This window comes from Homo sapiens, chromosome 1 (assembly GCF_000001405.40).
Source record: "Homo sapiens chromosome 1, GRCh38.p14 Primary Assembly".
Classification (NCBI taxonomy): Eukaryota; Metazoa; Chordata; class Mammalia; order Primates; family Hominidae; genus Homo; species Homo sapiens.
Window position 1 is genome coordinate 204,245,363 of NC_000001.11, and position 15,731 is coordinate 204,261,093.

At 52.2% G+C, this 15,731-nt stretch overlaps 1 protein-coding gene across 31 annotated transcripts in view, besides 2 other annotated features; it reads right to left on the reverse strand.

The window, feature by feature from the left end:
* Positions 1-15,731, reverse strand: part of PLEKHA6 (pleckstrin homology domain containing A6) — a 159,316-nt gene that overhangs the window by 26,510 nt on the left and 117,075 nt on the right. For 16 of the 31 annotated variants that reach the window (XM_047449464.1, XM_047449463.1, NM_014935.5 and 13 more), the window contains 7 exons: positions 13,896-14,378; positions 11,991-12,507; positions 5,184-5,252; positions 3,822-3,902; positions 3,459-3,608; positions 2,003-2,098; positions 253-364 (listed from right to left, as the gene is read on the reverse strand). In XM_047449464.1, coding sequence (XP_047305420.1) covers positions 253-364; positions 2,003-2,098; positions 3,459-3,608; positions 3,822-3,902; positions 5,184-5,252; positions 11,991-12,507; positions 13,896-14,378 — 1,508 coding nt within the window. Of the gene's footprint in view, positions 1-252; positions 365-2,002; positions 2,099-3,458; positions 3,609-3,821; positions 3,903-5,183; positions 5,253-6,168; positions 6,250-10,263; positions 10,318-11,439; positions 11,527-11,990; positions 12,508-13,895; positions 14,379-15,731 lie in introns of all 31 variants that reach the window. The other 15 variants (XM_011509297.4, XM_006711221.4, XM_011509304.4 and 12 more) reach the window with 2 other exon arrangements.
* Positions 8,285-8,786: an enhancer, noted in NCBI's record as "H3K4me1 hESC enhancer chr1:204222775-204223276 (GRCh37/hg19 assembly coordinates)". NCBI's record gives its function as "activates a minimal SCP1, AML or CMV promoter by ChIP-STARR-seq in primed H9 embryonic stem cells {active_cell/tissue: H9 hESC(primed)}" and the evidence as "EXISTENCE:reporter gene assay evidence [ECO:0000049][PMID:30033119]".
* Positions 8,787-9,286: an enhancer, noted in NCBI's record as "H3K4me1 hESC enhancer chr1:204223277-204223776 (GRCh37/hg19 assembly coordinates)". NCBI's record gives its function as "activates a minimal SCP1, AML or CMV promoter by ChIP-STARR-seq in primed H9 embryonic stem cells {active_cell/tissue: H9 hESC(primed)}" and the evidence as "EXISTENCE:reporter gene assay evidence [ECO:0000049][PMID:30033119]".

The following is a 15,731-nucleotide window of genomic DNA, read 5'->3' on the forward strand; positions in this document are numbered from 1 at the left end:
GACCTTTTCTGGGGAGGACTTTAGAGTGTCAGGGTCAACAGTGTCTCTGAGTTGTTTATTTGGTCTATTCTGTGGGGGGTAAGGGACCCCTACCTACCACCCTAGAACCCAGGGGAAGATTCTGGTGTCCCAAGAAGGCCCTGCCTGGCTCTGAACACAGTGTGAGCTGGCAGGAGTGGGATGGAGGTCAGAAATACTGGAGCACTCCTGGTGAGGCAGGCAGCCTAGGAGGCTGGCACAGGAGGCACCCACCTCTGTGCTTGGCGGTGTCCGTGCCCCGGGAGGGGTTGTTCTTCCTCAGCCCCTCCATCACGTCCTGGATCCTCCAGATCTCCTTTTGGATTTGCCGGTTCAGCACCTCATTCTGAAGCAGCCACACAGTGAGTCAAAGGAAATGGCCATGAGGAGTGTCCAGCCCTTTCTCTCAGCCCAGACCCCTTGGAACCCACATCCCTTTGGGCCAGCAGGAGGCAGGCACCCTGTGTACACACACACACACACACACACACACACACATGCCCCTCCAGCAGTCATCTTTCCCATGGGCTGCCTCTGCTCTTCAGCCTCTAGGAGATGGCACCCCAGAATTGCCCGAGTTTCTGAACCAAGACTGAGGACGCACCCTTCCGAGCTCCCTCAGGGGAAAGATGGGTGGTTTTCGAGTGAATGCCCATCTAAGTGAACACTTTATGGTATCCTGTTTTTCGTGGGGCAAGAGCTTCCATTTTACTGCTTTTCTTCACATCCAAACAGCCCTTTTCTAATACCCACTCCCAGCGTACGCCTGAAGAGTCATGAATTCAATTACAGTTGACAGTCTAAAAGGTAAGACCTCCCATTTATTTAGCATCCCTCAGCACCAGGCACTATGCTAAGCAATTTGCATATACAGTGCTAACTCATTTCGGCTGCATGACTCTAGGAGATAAGGGCAGCAGCTATCCCCTCTTCAGAGATGAAGAGACTTACACCCAAGGCCATCTATTTAGTAAGCAGCATGACCATCATCTCAATATGGGTCTATTTGGACCCGAAGTTAGCGCCCTTGACCACAACCCTATCCCCCCTACTAAAATGTCTGTGTTTCAAGTGAGGCTTGGCCACGGGACATGGTGGTATTTGGGTCTTCTGGACCAGGTGGGTCTTCACCCTACCTAACCAGCTGCAAGGTAGGGGTGGTGAGTAGCATTACCAGGAGGGAAACAGAAGAAAATGGGGGAAACCAGGGTGTTAACTGCATCAGAGAGACAGGGCTTGCAAACTAGCTAGAGAAGAGGCAGGGCCTGGGTGAAGAAAAGGCAGAGGGAAGAAAAGAACAAGAACTCCCCAAGATCATCATGTCAATCCTCCTGCCTCCAGGCAGACTGTTTCTAACCCACCCCAGGAAGAAAAGCCTCTCTCCTATCTAAAAATTCCTGAGCAGATTGCTCCCGCAGCGCCTACTCTTCTAATGCCTGAGTTATTTATATTTACACGTCTGTTTTTAAATCCTGCTGGGCACAGTGGCTCATGCCTGTAATCCCAGCAGTTTGGGAGTCTGAGGCAGGAGGATCACTTGAGCTCAGGAGTTAGAGACCAGCCCGGCCAACACAGGGAGACCCTGACTCTACAAAAAATACAAAAACTAGCCAAGCATGGTGGTTCATGACTGTGGTCCCAGCTACTCAGGAGGCTGAGGTGGGAGGATTGCTTGAGCCCGGGGCAGTCAAGGCTGCAGTGAGCTGTGACTGCGCCACTGCACTCCAACCTGGGCAACAGAGCAAGACCCCATCCCAAGAGGAAAAAAAATCCTTTCAGTCATAAAACACCTGTGTCTAACTGAAGTCTCCCAAGCTTCAGCTTTAACTCCTTCCCCTGTGAGATGAACCTAAAGCGTCCCATTATCTTCATCCTGAAACTTAGAGTCTGTTATCAATGGCCGGAACCTTTGCTTTTGTCTCGAGGCCAACTCCTCATCTTTAGTCACATCCCAATCCCCGCCAGCTCAGGGGCCCTTCTTCACCTGGGTGTCCAAATTGAGCTGCTCCCAGAGGTCATCGTGCAGGGCAGAGACCTCAGACTCGAGGTGCTCATACTCTATGGTGCTGTTTGTCAGGGCCTACGGGGGAAAGAGGCGTTCACTGAGAAAGCCGCCATCACCAAGGCATTCCTCCTTATCCTGCAATGGACCCTGGGGCCAGGGTACCAGAGGCACAAAGATCTGGGGAAGAGGGCATGGAGGGACCGAAGGAGAGGGGCACCAGGCTGAGACATTCTGGTGACAGCCAAACACTAGCCTTACAAGAGATGTAACAGCCCATCCCACCACCAACTGAAATAAAGAGAAAATGGAGAGGGATGATATCACTTCCATACCCTCCTATTCTCCCCAGATCAGCGGATAAAAAGTAGAGGGCATAGCCTGGGGAAAATGACAAGACCCCATCTCTACAAATTACAAAAGTTAGCTGGGCATGGTGGCGCACCCCTGTAGTCCTGGCGACTTGGGGGCTGAGGCAGGAGATCACTTGAGCCCTGGAGGTCAAGATTGCAGTGAGCTGTGTTTGTGCTACTGCACTCCAGCCTGGGTGACACAGTGAGACCCTGTTCTTAAAAAAAAAAAAATTTAAGTGGAGGTCAAAGAGAAAAGAGCCTGAAGGAGGATATTTATTATTCAGAGGTTAGAGAGCTTCCTCCTTTCCGAGCCACACTTTCACGGGGCTTTTTCTGCTGCTTCTTGGAGCCATTCTCCAAGCAGTCTGTGTCGGAAGGTCTGCCCTTACCTGCTGGGAAGTAGTGACCAGGGCAGCAGCCTTTTTTTTTTTTTTTTTTTTGAGATGGAGTTTCACTCTTGTTGCCCAGGCTGGAGTGCAATGGTGCGATCTCGGCTCACGGCAACCTCCGCCTCATGGGTTCAAGCAATTCTCCTGCCTCAGCCTCCTATCTGGGACTACAGGTGTGTGCCACCACAACCGGCTAATTTTGTATTTTTAGTAGAGACAGGGTTTCTCCATGTAGGTCAGGCTGGTCTCAAACTCCCACCCTCAGGTGATCCACCCGCCTTGGCCTCCCAAAGTGCTGGGATTATAGGCGTGAGCCACTGAGGCCAGCTGGCAGCAGCCTTTTTGCCAGTGCTTTGCTTCTCCGAGGGAGAAGACAGAAGTGGGCAGCAGAGGTGTTAGCACAGCCAAGGAAATAAGTAACTCACAACTTCATGCTGTCCCAAAGAAATCCAGGTACAGGTATAGTTTGTGGGAAATAAGCTCATTTCCTCGGTGGAGACTGGAATGAGCAGACTGGCTGACTTGCTATTTATTTGCAGGGCAATATTGAGGTCTTTGTTTATGCCCCTCTGCACGGGAGTACTCAGCTCTTGTCCTCTGAGGAAAACTGGACTAGGACAGCACAAGCTGGGAGGTGGTGGCCCTGCTGCCTAGTGCTGATGAGGTGGGGTGCACGAACCCCGCTCCCTGGGTTACCGTGGTCGCCTGAGACAGCTCCACGCGGATGTTGATGAGCTGGTTCTGCAGTGAATCCTTTTTGTGTCGCAGCTTTTCTGGGTAGGCGGGCTGGCTTCCAAACATCTCCAGCTCCTGGTGGGTCCCCATCAAGGCACTTTCCAGGCTCTCCTGAAGAAAGGCAGGGGAATGACATGAGCAGCCCTGACAGCTCCTCTCTGGGATTGAACAGCAGAGGCCTGAGCCCTTAGAGGTTCAACAGGCAGCTGAGTGGAAGCTGTCCTTGCTTTGTCATCTCAGTCAGGTTGGAGACAGCAGCCCACAACCTTCTCCAAGCCAGCCTCGCCCATCTGCCCCAGCTTAAAGCCACCCCCAGCTTCTCACCTTCTCAGCTCGGAGCTGCTGCACCAGCCGGTCCTGCTCCCTCACCACCTTGTTCTGCTCACACAATTTTCCCAGCAGCTTCTAGGGACCCAGAGAGTGGAGAAGGAGAGGGAGAAAGAAGGGGATGAAGGACATAGTTTGATGGGGACCTGGGAGTTATAGGCCTGGCCTCTGGATACCCCCCTCCTTTCTCCTGCTGAGGAACCCTGGGCCTTCACCTTGCCCTTGGTGGCTCCTGAGAACAAGAAGATGGGTCTTCATCTTGGGAGGTGAGGTATGCTTACTCTCTGAGGAAGTGAGTTGGGTTAAGAGGGCTGAGAGGCAAGTGTTAAACTCTGGCACCCCCATCCTTCCAAGGGTTGCAATTCACAAAGGACTGAGGAGATGATATGACCTCACCTCTTAGGCTGGACTGAAGAGGTGGGCCGGGTGTCAGAACAAGCAGTCTTAGAAAAGCAGTGAGCAATAGAAACTGTCCCTCAATCCCACAGAACCTTCTCCCTTCTCTCTCAAGATCCTGTTCTTCCCTCCTCCCTTCAAAGTCTCAGGATGGCTGATCCTCCCTCTGAGGTCTAGTCCTGTCAGGAAGGATCCTCTCCCAGTCTCACTGGGCAGATCCACTACCCAAGCAGGGCCAGTGGTGATGGGGAGCAGACAGGTGAGGCCAGAAAGAGGGCTCATGCTTTCCTAGTCCGCACCTTTATTCATGCCATTCCTCAAATACCTGCTTTGCTCCTTTCCACTGAGCCAGATTTTACCCTCTGGGCCTTTTAACTTCAAGGCCTAACTCACATGCTGCTTGTTTTGTCCCTGACCTTCAGCCCACACGGCCTCACTTCCCTGCACCTGGCAGAACCTATTATGGCTCCCCTTCACTACATGAATACCGTGTTGCCACCTCCTGCTGCTACCTGGCACTTCCCACTACCCTGAAGCTCCCTGAAGCCAGGGGCATAGCCGTATTCTCCTTTCTAGTTACCTGTAGGGACTAATGCCATGCTGGGCACAGAATAGACTGACTGATCTATCTCCCAACAAAGTCTGCATTCATGTTACAAGCAGATCTCACTGCCGTAGGCAAAACGGCCCAGCGCTCAGTGGAGAAATGGATACAGCCAGCATGGGAGGGAAGGGTGAGTGGGTGGTAGATCAGAAAAGAAGGGGGATGAGGAGGAGGTAGGCAGAATCTTGTTGTGGTGAGAGAAGACATGAATCAAAGGTATGAAAAGCCACCAGAAGGAGAGAGATAGATGGAGAGACAGCCCCCGCAGAGGAAGAGAGATGGATGGAGAGACAGCCCCCCGCAGAGGACAGCAGCAGGAGGCTGGAGTGGAGGGAGGGAGCAGGGGGCGCTGCTCTTACATCTGTGTCTTGCTCGTTTAACTTGTAGGTGTGGAGGCTGTCCCGGAACACTTCTGGGTATGGAGGGACCTGCAGGAACATGAGGCCGGTTACTGCAGCAGGGGCAGGATGAGGGTATGCAGGGATAGGAAGCTAACATCACAATCCCGCTGTGCTCCTGCCAGAGACCATGGTCCGTCACCTCTGGTAGCTTCTGTTCCAGGGACCTGAGCTCATTCCACATCCCCTGGCTGGAAGCCTGGGATGGCCCGGCCTAACCCCATCCCAGTTGTCCTAGGCTGACTCCGGAGAGATCAGAACTCTGCTTGAGTCATGCTCTGTATTTCCTCTCCCCCAAGCACTAGGGTCAGCTGCTAAGAGCGACTGCAGGGTGTGCAGCTCCCAGTGGCTTGTTGGTAACCACCATGAGAACATCAGTGAACTCCATGGCTGTCTGTGGGGTTAAGACATAGGGGAATGGTCGGAATGAGCATTGGGAACAGTTGAAAACTATTGCCCTAGTAGACTGAACACCTGGGCTTGTGTCTAAACAAAAATTGGCAAGAATTCAGAAGCGTCTCCGGATCCAGTAAATGCTGCCTAGCCTGGACGCCACATCTGGTGACCACAGCACATTCTATACACCTTTGACATTAGATGGTTCCATTACACCCCTCATGCCTTTAACCCCAGTGACGTCTGTCAAGATGTTACAAATATGAAATCGAAATCAGAACATTCAAGAGCAGAGTTGCGATCCCCAGCATGGCATGAGATGTTGGTGCTGGCTATTTTGATGGTTTGGGAAATGGGCCTTGGGTTTACCCATGAAAGTGAAGAATGGAGGTGACATAGTGGAATTAAGGAAGGAAGACCAGGCCAAGCCTGTCTCCAGGCAGATGAGCGGGTTGGGTGGCGTGAGCCTCATCCTAGATGGGCAACTCGACCATGCACAAGCAGCTGAAATGGCATTGGCAGGGACCATGCTGCCAGGCAGAGGTCTTACTTGCATGAAGAGTTGGGACCTGGGGGAGGAGTTTTCCACCATGCGGTTCACCATACTGATGAGAGTCTCGCTCTCACTCATCTGCAGCAGAGGAAGGAACGGACTATTCACACTCCGACCTACATGTAGGTATCTCCCCTTCACCCACCTGTGCTTGTTTCCCAGGAAACAGGGGAGGGCAGCTCCCCCAGCACCCTGAGCTTGCCCTCACTCCTTGCTCACCCCTAGTGACCTCTGTTTCAGGACCAGCACTGAAGCTGTCCTTGCAGAAAGGCCACAGAAGGGGCCGGGAGGCCACTGGGACCTTGCTGGAGGCACTGCAGAGGCTGGGGCCTGGTGACTCTTCCCCAGGGTGCCTGGCTGTTGTCCCATCCGCACTGGCCACGGTTGTCATCTCCCTGCCCTGATCTCATTTCTCACACCACTTTTGACAAAGACCATAGAGGCAGTTGGAAGACTGATCTCCCCAAAGTTGAACTAAGTGAAACAACCAAAAAAGAAAATCTAGGACCTGCTCTTTGGATGGGCCGCCACAGATACAGAGGCCTGCCCCCTCTCCCTGCCCCTGCCCCTCCCCACCCTCGGCTCTAGTGCAGAAAGTGCTAAACACGGTTTCCAGAGCTGGGCTGGCAGCATCCATGAGGATCTCGGATGACGCTAGGGAGCAAACAAGGAGGCCAAAACAAGCAAGCCACATTAAAGGGACACCAGGCTTTCCAACACATTCTTTCTATTTCAAGAATCCTTAGGAACATGGAGGTGGAAAGACTATTTGCCAATTTAAAAAGAGAGAAATGGAAGAAGGGATGGGATGAGGAGGAAGAGGAAGGGAAAGGAGGGGTGGGAGAAAGGGCAGGCCAACCAATCAACCAGAAATGCCATCATTTCCCCCACTGGTTCCAATGGGAAAGGACCAAAAAGTGAAGATATCAGGGAATGTCTTTGGCTGTGTCCCTTTAACTCCATTGTTCTACAGGGGAAGGCAGCAGAAGACAGAGGGGGTTGTGCAGGGAAAGCTTTCTGGAAGGGAAAGTGAATGAGAAAGGGAGGAAAGAGCCACATTAGGGAAGATTATCTGGGGTTTCTGTTCAGAGGGTCCCCTGTGATTTTTCCGTCATCTCTCCAATCTCAGTTGCACCCACACTGTCCTTTCTTCCTCTTACCCCTTTTAGGCAGCGGCCCACATACAGCCTTGCTTCTACATGTTGTAGGCAGGGCAAGGGCACCCACCATCCCATTTGCAGGGTCTGCAGCATTTCAAAAGGCTTTCCTAGGAACTGATTTTTCTACCTCTTTAGCCCTGTAATGCAAGGGCCTTGAGGGCCAGGAGCCATCCATGCACAGTAACCTGTAGGTATCTCATTCCTTCCCCAACACGCAGATCCAGAGCAGTAGAGGAAGCGAGCAGGAGTGTTCTCATCCTGGCCTGCTCCCGCCTGTGCTGCGGCTTTGGGGATCTTTCAGCACAGGTGGGTCTTACCTCTAGGAGGATTCTTGTGTGCTACCTTCTGTCTCTTCAAAATGTTAGATTTTGTAAGAAACTACCTAACCCAGTGCCTCACACATGGTAAGGAGTGCTCATTGATATTTTTGAGTTTGGGAAAAACAAAATAATAACAGCAGCAAGTGGTGACTGTCACTCCTTGCGATGCCTGACAAAGAGCTCACATATGCACCCCTGCTTGATTCTCCCAATACATCTGTGAGGTTGAAAGGAAAGGGCAGATTCTACAATGCCCATTTTATGATTGAGAAAACAAAGACCCAGAGAAACTAAGTGACATTTCCAAGATTAAAAAAAAAACAAACTTCCTTGTAAATGGCAGAGCTAGAACTAGAGCAGCAGTGTCTGACTATGTCCTGGACTCTTCTCATCATACAAGACTGCCTTTTAAGAGTACTACCTACGTGAACCCTGGGGGCGAAGCCTACAGTGAGCCGAGATCGCGCCACTGCACTCCAGCCTGGGTGAAAGGGCGAGACTCCTTCTCAAAAAAAAGAGTACTACACTTGGCCAGCTACAGTGGCTCATGCCTATAACCCTAGCACTTTGAGAGGCAGAGGTGAGAGGATCACTTGAGGCTGGGAGTTTGAGACCAGCCTGGCCAGTACAGTGGGACACCCATCTCTACAAAAAAAAATTTTTTAATTAGCCAGGTGTGGTGGCTGCACACCTGTCTGTAGTCCTAGCTGCTCAGGAGGCTGAGGTGGGAGGATCACTTCAGCCTGGGAGGTGGAGGTTGCAGTGAGCTAGGTTTGTGCCACTATACTCTAGCCTAGGCAACAGAGTGAGATCTTGTCTCAAAAAAAAAAAAAAAAACAAAAACAAAAACAAACAAACAAACAAAAAGGAATAATACCCTTTATCCATGAGGGAGTCTTCTGGAAGGCTAGTTCTGAAGCCCCTAGCCTAATGGACCAGCCCCTCTGTGAGGGCAAAAGCCCGCAGGAAGGGACCCTGCTGTCTGCACTGAATGCTTGGACAGCTGGGCATTGTGGATGGAGTAGAAAGCCAATCACATGGGTGACAGGGAGGATAGCTTGCTCAGGAATCCGGAGGTGGGTGGGCCATGAGCCCTGCTCCTCACCCCTGCAAGGCACTTTGGATCTTGTTTCCCATCAGCAGGATCCTGGACCTCCCGGCCCTGCTCAGAGTTGGAATCCTGGGATCTGTTCCCACATGGCCCAGAATGCTCATGGTGTGGACACAATGAGCTGCTTCTGGAGCTGGAATGCCACGGCCTCCAGGGCCAGGAGCCATCCCTGTTTATTGAACTGTGGACATTGGTGCTTCCTAGTGCCTGAGGCCTATTACAAAATCGAATTGCGACACCGACATGAAGCCCTGGTGAGATGGGTCACATGGCTTGTGACTAGAAGAACCAACAGTTGCAGCTATAGCATCTCATTTAAAATTTTTTTTTTCTGTAACTTTAAGAGCATGAACTCATCCTAATGAGGTTTGACAGCAGCTTTGTCACACATTAGATGTTTCCTCAGCTGTAAACTGGGTCAGAAGCTTGGAGTCACTGTCCAAGCTCGGCTGTTCACTGGCTGTGTGTTCTTGGCATGTTATTCAACCTCTCTGTGCTTTAGTTTCCTCAGCTGTAAAATGGGGGTAATAATAGCATCCATCTTACAGGGTTATAGTGAAGATTAAATGAGTTAAGATCTGAAAAATGCTTAGAATAGTATGGGGCATGGAGGAGGCATCCAATTATTGTAGCTGTTGTTATTATTATTATTATTTCCACCCCTCCAGGCTGCCTCCACAGGACAGTGTTGTGTACTTCTAGGTCGTGGTTTGTAGCACAGATCTAAACTTAAGAGTATGTGCTTATATAAATACCCAGCATATTGACCCCCAGCCTGTCTAAACTCAGTCTCACAGCTCCCTTAGCTTAAAAGACAAGAAAGGGTTAGAACCCCGGAGCAGAGACCAGGCAGCCACTGCTTGCAGCTCATGGAACATTCACTGCCTCTTCAGCTTGCTCACCTGTAAAACTGGGTTGATAATACTCCCTCTGTTTGCACTGAATTCTCAGGAATGCACGAGCTGTTTATGCAAAAGGGCTTTTGGAGGAACTAATGAATACACTGAGTGAATATTACTTTAAAAATCATCCTAGGGAGGGTCTGCAGGCCTCAGTTTACCAATTATGGAGTTTAACAACAACCTGTAAAATATGATAAGATGATTTCCCAGATTCAGGCTGAACTAAATCCCTAGCATTTTAGGCCCAGCCTAGAGCTCCCTCGACTCTGCGACTCCCTCCTCTCGCCAGAAAAAATGCAAATTCCCACCTGCCCCCTGGGGGCAGTTCCATCTGAGCTGAGCACTGGAGAAATAAGAGGTGGCATTAATTATTCATGTGCCTACTTATTATGCTTCTTTCCCCAGGAAACTCCCAGCTGTCCTAAAGGGCTTTGAAGAGAAGGGGTGTGTAGGCGCAAACCAAAACATAAGCCACTTTGTTGTGTCCTGCTTGCACCAACAAAGGTTGTCAAATGGCTGGAAGATGAGGAGGTGGGGAGGAGTGGAGAGATGCGACAGGAAGGCAGTGGGATGATAAGGGGGGCACCAGCTCTGCCTACCTGCTGATCCAAATACTCTAGGTTTCTTTGCAACTGAAGATCTAAAAGTTCATCCTACCCGGAGCCCGAGGCCCAGAGGCCAAACAGCAACACAAACAAACAGGAACACACAAAAGAAAACAATAAAAAAAGAAGCAAAGCAGTTAAGAGTTAGCGACAAGGACAAGGAGAGGCTTCTCCCTCTGCCCTTGAGGAGTTCTCAGGAAGGGAGGGGTTGAGGATGTGGGCAGGCAAAGTAGTTCTCTACTGGACACTCCAGGAGAGGAGGGGCACACGCAGACCCCAGTGCCATCTCTCCTAGGTCTGCCTAGGCCTCCCTGGGAGAGGTGAGTGTCATCAGAGCAATTTAGGCAGCACTTGTTAGCAGCTGTTTCTGAGTTTTCTGGAAAAATCGGTTGTTTCTGGGTGCGTGTGTTTGCTGTGGGCAAAGCTTATATGCTGTGGACACTGGCAGAGTGAGAATCAGACAGAGAGGGGAAGGAGCAGCCGCCTAGCCTCCAGCCTGCCCAGCCCTCCTCCACTCTGGCCTCCTGGTACTGTTATGGAAATGAGTCAGCAACAGGCTTTCTGGAAAAGGATTCTGCCTGTTGGTCCCAGTGGTCCTCCCCAACCCTCCCAAGTGGAGCATCTTATCTAGGTCTCTAGGTGGTGGCAAAAGTTCTCAGGAGAACAAATTCCAGGGAGAGACACGAGTAGAAAGAGGCAGAGAAAAAGGAGGAGATGCAATTCGGAAAATTTTTTCTTCCTCAATCATATCGCTTGTATCTCTCCCCAAAAGTGGCATTCCAGGCAAAGGACAAACATGAAATAACTATGCTTCAGGGGAAAAAAGTTTAGAAGATCTTGCTTCTTGTTAGGAGCTCTGGCCTGATTTTTCCTGCCTAGGCCCCTTCTCCTGCATGCTGGAGAGGAGAGGGACCAGGATATTACATGCTCCCAGATCTCATCCCTCCTCCACGGGCTGTGTCACAGAGGAGAAGGGGTTATTGGCACCAAACTTGATACTGGGGCTAGAGTCCTGGCTGGGAGGGAGGAGGTATCCAGAGGCTGCTAAAAACCAGCCAGGCCAGGCACTAGGCACAGAGCGTCCCTGGAGTCCGCCCCAGTTTAGCTCCACCCTGAGTGGAGCACGGTGCGGGGAGGCCCTGAGACAGGTGGAGGGGAGAAAGGACGTACCATCTTATCGTGGACCGTGGGGGATGGTGGGTAGTTGTAGGGGAACAGTCCTGCAGGGACTGGCCGCCTGTCTCCCAGGTAATCATACTGGAAGAGAAAGGGATCGCAGAGGTGAGGGGTCTGGCTGGGACACGGAGTTCCCCAACAGCTGAAGCTCAAGGTTAGAGGTATTTGTGTTCAGTTCCCAGAGCAGATCCCAAACTGAAATGGACAGCAGCCCCCCTTGCAATGATCTGTCCAGGTCCTCAAGATTTGAAAAGACAGAACCCTCTCTGCCCTCTTATATGACGGCATGGTATCTGGCACAACTTGGGGGCATGTACAGAAAGCAATGTCCCCACTCAAGAGGCAAAGCCATCCCCAAGACAGCTCTCCTACAGACAGAACCACAGGCCAGGGGCTCCGCTGGGCAGCACTGCTGGTCCTGCAGACAAACGGCCCAGTGGCCCCGTGGCACAGATGCTCCCACATCTCTGCCTTTTCTCAGTAGATGGTCTTAGGCTTCTGGGGACCTCAGGGGATGAGGAAGGAAGGGCAGGCTGGTGGCTCACCTTGGGGGAGCTGATGGATCGCCTCATCACATAGGCAGCAGGGTCAGCATAGATGTCCTCACTGCGAGGTGGCAGCCGCTCAAAACGGGCACTGGGTGAGCGGACAGGGGAGTAAATGCGGGCACGGCTGTAGGAGCCCTGGCTGGGTGAGCGGGGCACAGAGTGGGAGCGGGGCTGCAGGGACAGGCGGCGCAGGGAGCTAGAGGCGGCATCCAGCTCATCATAATAGACTGGCTGCCGGGAGGGGCTTGGGATCCAGACGGTGGCATCCTGCCGCCCGTAGCTGGCGGGCTCCTTCCACTCTCGCAGCTGGTAGGCAGGGCCACCCCCATTGCGGAAGGCATGGCGCTTGTCCTCCAGGGCCCAGGGCGGGCTGATCCGATCATAGGCCGGCATGGAACAGATGCTCTCCGGCCGCACTCCTGGCGGGTAGTACTGATAATCATCGGGGTACTGGGAGGAGTAGGGGCCATAGTACTCAGGGACCCTGCGAGACACAGGATAGAACCTAGAGGGACTGAGAGAGAGGGGACATTGTAATGAAGGCAGACAACACGGGCACCCCTCCACCCACCCCAGCCCCACCTCCAGGTCCCCCAGCCTAGAGCAGGGTGCTTGAATAGGTACACAGGGGCTGAGGTTTATTCCAGAGATGAGGGAAAGACTCCTGTCCTCACAGCCCCCCTCCTCAAACAACTCCCCAAGGCTGGACACTGCACCATTCAGAGCTTCAATCTTTGCCTCTTTAAAATGACATATCCCTAGGAAGAAACGTGAAGCCTTATCAGCCATCTCCATCTCAGCATGAACCAGTTTATCAGATCTTTTCTGAGAGAGGCAAATAGAAGAAAGTCTACCAGGCACCTGAAGGAGGGCAATGTAGGAGGGATGAAAGAAAGGGCGGCTTCCTGATCTATTTTATATTATTTTAGAGATGAGGTCCATTCTGTCACCAGCCTGGAATACAGTGGGGCCATCAAGGCTCACTGCAGCCTTGAACTCCTGGGCTCAAGCAATCCTCCCACATCCACCTGTAGAGTAGTAGCTGGGACCACAGGTGTGAGCCACCATGCCCAGCTTCCTGACTGTATGATCTTGTCAGGGACAGAACCAGTAGATTCTTGGGACTCATCCCAAGTGGTTCTCCCCAGAGCAGGCCTGATGCTCCCAGGCACCAGACCACCAGCAATGCGCAGCCGCTCAGGCCACTAGAGGGCAGGTTCCTCCCGGGCCCCATGGCCTTCCTGAAGCTGTGGCCTGCAGTCCCTGGAGCTGCCCAAATCCCCAGGGAAGGAGCCTGCAGCCCATTTGCCCTGAGGGACACCATTGGGCCCAATAAATGTCCCCAGATATTTCAAAGTCAGTCATTGGATAAAGGCGTAAATGGTCATAGATGGCCATGTTGGGACCAATGAGCTACTTTGTTTTGTTTTTTAACTTCATATAAATCATGGCTTTAAAACAATTAGAGTTGTTCAAAAATGGAATGAGTTGGTCTGGCAGTTAGTGAGTCTCAAGTGGGTGGAGCACTGGGGAGAGGATGTTGTAGGAGGGCCCATAGCTTGGATGGATGTATGACTATAACAACTTCAGGCCCCCTCCCAAAGCCTGCTGTGTTCTGGGCTCCCCAGCACGCCGTGGAGAGGCACTGGGGCACTCTGTCCCTTCTTCTGAAGGAAGCAGACAAAGAAACCAAGAATCAGGGACAGCAGCCAGACTCTAATGGTGGAGCCATGGGGCAGGCAGGATTTGGGCAAGCCAGGAAGCATGGGATTTGCTTGGTTTCCCAACTCAGCCTGCTTCCAGAAGGTTTCCAACAGGGGATGCCTCGTGGGCTATGACCCCACTCGCACGCTCTAGCCATAATACCATATCAGCCCCACCCCAGCCGCCGGCATGCCTCACCTCCGAAGGTCTTCAGGCGGGGGTACCCCCCGGCGCAGATTCACCCACTGCTGAAGCTGGTTCATGGAGCTCTTGCGCTGGGCAATTTTGTCAGGGTTGGTGCGTGGTGGGAAACTCCGCCGGTGTCCCCCAGTCTCTCCATCCTGAGACGGGAAAGCTGTGCTCCCTGGCCGGCTTGGGGAGTGGTACTGCCAGCCATTGGGCTGGGCAGGCTGTTCCCCACCCCCTGGCACTCTTGGGCCCTCGGGGTAAGGGCTGCCCGGCTCTGAGGCTGGCTCCGGTCCAGCTGGGAGGCCATTGGCTTTCACCGGAGGCTCTTTCTTGACTTCTGGCCTCTCAGGCCTTCTCTCTGCCTTCTCACAGCCTCGGCCATCACCCTCCCCTCGAGTCTTGGCCTCTGGCTCAGGCTTAGGGAGGCTGTTGTGGGGTGGCTGCTGGTGGTGCTTGCTGGGTGGGACGTTCTCCGAGTCTGGCTTCTCATGGCTGCAGGATGCCAAGGGAGATGCTGTCAGTGACTCTAGCCCAGCATGGAGTGGGGCAGGGGGTGCCAGACTGGGAAGAAGAGGAGTGGGGAAGGATGGGCAGGGAGGTGGCTGGAACCAGGATTCTATGAACTCCAGTTCTGCTTCCTAAGTCCCACCCCTTCACCTTCTCGCTCCAGCCTGGGAAATTATTATACAACCTAATCCGCCCCTGCCCACACCTGCTGTGTTAACTCTGCCCCCCACGTCTTCTCTGCAGGTCATTCTCCACCCCACTCCCCTCTGTCAGTCTGCTTTGAGCCCAGCCTTCAAGCTATGGCATGACTAACCTCACCTAGTCTTGGTCCTCTCTGCGATCTATCCCTGACCCAGCTCCCCAAACTGGGTTTGCACTCACATCAGTAACTGTCCTTGATACTCCAGTGACAAAGGCTTGTCACGGGGCAGCTGTCTTTCTTATAGAAAGTTATTTAACTGCCAAGAGTCTTGGGCTCCTCATCAGCAGAATGGGCATAATAATAGCTCCCCTCCTAGGACTGCTGTGAGATAAAACATGGCGGGCACCAGGAGCAGAAGTTTCTGCTTTCAAACTCACAAGCACATAAACACGCTAGTTCCCTTCTCCAAAACACATTTCTTCCAGGACTGACTTTCCATGAGAATACAGGCCCCACAAGGGTAGGAACATGGCAGACTTTCTTCCCCTGTGTTCCTAGCACCCACTACAGTGCCTTGCACATTTATATTTACAGTAAGTATTTGTGAAATGAATGAATGAACTCTTGGAATTATGCCCCTTGGTTGAAGCGAAGATGGAAATTTGTGACAATTTTCCCCCTACAGCTTCCCAAACTCCACATATTCAAGTGGGATTGTTGAAACATTGCTTGGTAAACATTTCTAAGATATGTGGACTTGGAGCCTACACTGTGAAACCCCCTTTTCCTGGATCCCCCTTAGCACCTAACTCAAGACTCCACATCCAGTTAAGGGAGAGACAGACGCTGAGACCGTGGGTGACGGCGGGCGATGGGAGCGGCCATATGTTAAGAGTTTACTGCATGTTGAGTGTTTTACACGCACTCTGTGTAGGCCTCACAACAACCCTATGAGGTAGAGTTGTATTTGCTGGTTTTTGAGCAGAGGAACCTCGGGTTCAGAGAGGGTGAGTCCCTTGCACTGAGATCACGCTACAGCCAAGTGGACAAGGTGTGATTCAAACCTGAGTTTATTTTCCTCCAAAGGCGGTGTGCTTAACACACACAGCCGAGAAAAACCAGCAAATGACCCTGACCTCTGGCTCCTGGCCAGACCCCAATGGAACCTGGCTTTTCTCTTGGCCTTCCCGAGCTCA